The 3,971-nt window shown below is 42.5% G+C and overlaps 1 annotated feature.

Annotated features, from left to right (window-relative positions):
* Positions 2,857-3,398: an enhancer, noted in NCBI's record as "NANOG hESC enhancer chr14:88228569-88229110 (GRCh37/hg19 assembly coordinates)". NCBI's record gives its function as "activates a minimal SCP1, AML or CMV promoter by ChIP-STARR-seq in primed H9 embryonic stem cells {active_cell/tissue: H9 hESC(primed)}" and the evidence as "EXISTENCE:reporter gene assay evidence [ECO:0000049][PMID:30033119]".

Raw genomic sequence — 3,971 nt, forward strand, 5'->3', positions numbered from 1 at the left:
GCTGTTGGAATTTAGGAAAATCTATTCTTCCACAGCTTGGCACTTTATCCATTTTCACCCCTCATTCATTTTTGCATTCTTTATTTCATTTGCATGAAAACATGATCTTCCTGTTATCCAAAAGGCATTCTTAGGCTTCAGGTTTCCTAAGTTTTTTAATTATGGAGAAAATCTTGGGAATGGACAGAAGGTCGAATGAGGATTATAACTCTTCAGATACAAGTAAATAGGCTCAAGCTCTAGGGCCAGTTCCATCACCAACTCGTTGAGGAGCTCATATTTGTAAATAAGAAAGGATTGAACAAAAGTTGCAGTTTCCAGCATAAGAATTCCAGAATGGTAGAACTCCTCAAAATATTCTTTTGGTTTTTAAAACTCTATAGAAAACACAATTTGCCTGCAAATCTACCCAAATACCTAAACCATAATATTTTCAATTGACATAAAATATTCTAAGCATATTTCAAATAAAATTCCTAATTTTCCCCCCAAATCTACTTTATCCCGGTCCACCCACCCTTATTCAATGGAATGATCGATCACTCAAGTAGTTTTTCAAGCCAAAAATTTAGCACACATCTTGGGTTTCTGTCTGACCCTTATACTTCACTTCCAATCCATCAGGAAGTCCTATTGGCTTTACTTCCAAATACATCCCAGATTCAACTATTTTTCTCCATTCCCATTGTTTCTAACCCCATCTAAACCACTATGCTCTCTCACCTGGCCTAATTCATTAACCTCCACACAGTCTCCCTATTTCCACAGCAATGGTTTAACCCATGGCAATCCATTCTCCATACTCCTCAACCTGTGACTCCATTATCTCAAACCTTGCAATAGTTTCCTTTGCCCTTAGCATAAAGTCTTGTTTTCTAAAATCTTGTTTACTGCCCACAATTCTGTCCCAACTCCACCTCCTTTCATTTCCTTGTGTATTATCTCATTCTCTAATTGCTATAAGGAAATACCTGAGACTGGATAATTTATAAAGAAAAGCAGTTTAATTGGCTCACAGTGCTGCAGGCTGCACAAGAAGCATGATGCTGGCATCTGCTCAGCTTCTGTGGAGGCCTCGAGAAACTTATGATCATGGCCAGGGCAGGAGCAAGAGAGAGGGGAGAGGTGCCACATGCTTTTAAATGACCAGATCTCATGAGAGCTCACTCACTGTCATGAGAACAGTACCAAGGGAGATGGTGCTAGACCATTTGTGAGAAATCTGCCCCCATGATTCAATCACCTCCCACCAGGCCCCACCTCCAACATTGGGAATTATATTCCAATATGAGATTTGGACGAAACACACATCAAAATTACATCATTCTAACCCTGATACCTCCCAAATCTCATGTTCTTCTCACATTTCAAAATATAATCATGTCTTCCCAATAATCCCCCAAATTCTTAACTCATTCCAGCATTAACTCAAAAACCCAAAGTCCAATGTCTCATTTGAGACAAGGCAAATCCCTTCACCTATGAGCCTATAAAATCCAAAACAATTTAGTTACTTCCATGTTACAATGGAGATACAAGCATTTAGTAAATAATCCTATTCCAAAAGAGAGAAAATTGCCAAATGAAAGGGGCTACATGCCCGATGCAAGTCCAAAACCCAGCAGGGCCATTACTAAGTCTTAAAGCTCCAATATAATCTCCTTTTACTCCATGCCCCACATCCAGACCACACTGGTGCAAGGAGTAAGTTACCAAAGCCTTAGGCAGCTCCACCCTGTGGCTTTGCAGGATGCAGTCCTTGTGCAGCCTTGGGACTTGGTGCCCTGCATCCCAGACACTCTAGGTCCAGCCATGGCTAAAAGGGATCAAAGTATAGCTTGGGCCATTACTTCAAAGGGTGCAAGCCACAAGCCTTGGTGACTTCCATGTGGTGTTGGGCCTGTGGGTGCACAGAAATCAAGAAGTGAAGTTTGAGAACCTTCACCTAGATTTCAGAGGATGTTTGTTAATGCCTGGATGTCTAGGCAGAAGTCTGCTGCAAGGTGAGCCCTCATGGAGAACCTGTGCTAGGGCAATGCAGAAGGGAAATGTGGAGTTGGAGCCCCCAAACAGTGTCCCCACTGGGGCACTGGCTAGTGGACCTGTGAGAAGAAGGTCACTGTCCTCTAGACCCCAGAATGGCAGATCCACCAACAGCTTGCATCATGCACCTGGAAAATCCACAGGCACTCAAGGACAGCTCATGAAGAAGCTGCTGAAGGCCATCAGAGCCCACCCTTTGCATCAGCATGACCCAGATGTGAGACATGGAGTCAAAGGAGATAATTTCCAAGCTTTAAGATTTAATGAGTGCTCCACTGGGTTACAGACTTTCACGGGTCCTGTAGCTCCTTTGTTTCAGCCAATTTCTCCCATTTGGAGTGGAAATATTTACCCATGCCTATGCCTCCACTGTATCTAGGAAGTAACTAACTTGCTTTTGATTTTACAGGCTCATAGGCAGAAGGGTCTTGCCTTGTCTCAGATAAGACTTTGAACTGTGGACTTTTGAGTCAATGCTGAAACGAGTTAAGGTTTTGGGGGACCGTTGGGAAGGCATGGTTTTGAAATGTAAAATTGTATCAGTTTTGAAATGTGAAGAGATTTGAGAAAAGACAGATTTGGGAGAAGCCAGGGGCAGAGTGATACGGTTTGGCTCTGGGTCCCCACCCAAATCTCATTTCAAATTGTAATCCCCATGTGTCCACATGTCAAGGGAGGGACCTGTAATCCCCATGTGTCAAGGGAGGGAGGTGATTGGATCATGGGGGTAGTTTCCCCCATGCTGTCCTTGTGGTAGTGAGTGAGTTCTCACAAGATCTGATAGTTTTATAAGTGTTTGACCATTCCTCCTTCACAGTCACATACTCTCCCTCTTGCCTGCTGCCATGTAAGACATTCCTGCTTTCCCTTCTGGCATTGTAGGTTTCCTGAGGCCTCCCCAGCCATGTGGAACTGTAAGTCAATTAAATACCTTTTCTTTATAAATTACCCAGTTTTGGGCAGTTCTTTATAGCAGTGTGAGCATGGATTAATAAACCCACAAAACATTATTCTCTCCTAGACCTCCAACCTGTGATGTGAAGGGCTGCTGCAAAGGTCTCTGAAATGCCTTCAAGTCCTTTTTCCCATTGTCTTGGCTATCAGCAGTTGTCTTCTTTTTAGTTATGCAAATCTTTCTAGTAAGTAGTTGTTCTGCAGCCTCCTGCTTAGATTCCTCTCCCAAAAAAGCTTTTTCTTTCTCTGTCACACGGCCAGACAGCAAATTTTCCAAACTCTTTGCTCTGCTTCCCTTTTAAGTTTCAATTTTAAGTCATTCCTTCATTCTCACATCTGAACATGGGCTATTAGAAGCAGTTAGGCCACACCTTGAACACTTTGCTGCTTAGAAACTTCTTCCACTAGATAACCTAAGTCATCATTTTCAAGTTCAAACTTTCACAGACCCCTAGCTCATGGACATAATGTAGCCAAGTGTTTTGCTAAGGTGTAACAAAAGTTATCTTTACTCCAGTTCCTAATAAGTTCATCATTTCCATCTGAGACCTCAGCATCCTGGACTTCATTGTCCATATCACTATCAGCAATTTTGGTCACAACCATTCAACCAGTCTCTAAAACATTCCAAATGTTCCTTCATCTTCCTGCTTTCTTCTGAGCCCTCCACACTCTTCTAACCTTTGCCATTACCCAATTCCAAAGTTGCTCCCACATTTTCAGGCATCTTTATACCAATATCCCACTCCTCAGTACCAATTTTCTGTACTAGGCCATTCTTGCACTGCTATAAAAAAAATCTGAGACTGGATAATTTGAAAAGAAATTTAATTGGCTTACAGTCCTGCAGGCTGCACAGAAAGCATAATACTGGCATCTGCTTGGCTTCTGTGGAGGCCTCAGGAAGCTTACAATCATGCCAGAAGTTGAAGGAGGAGCAAGCAAATCACATGACCAGAGCAGGAGAAAGAGGT

The sequence above is a fragment of the Homo sapiens genome, chromosome 14, assembly GCF_000001405.40.
Source record: "Homo sapiens chromosome 14, GRCh38.p14 Primary Assembly".
NCBI classification, from domain to species: Eukaryota; Metazoa; Chordata; class Mammalia; order Primates; family Hominidae; genus Homo; species Homo sapiens.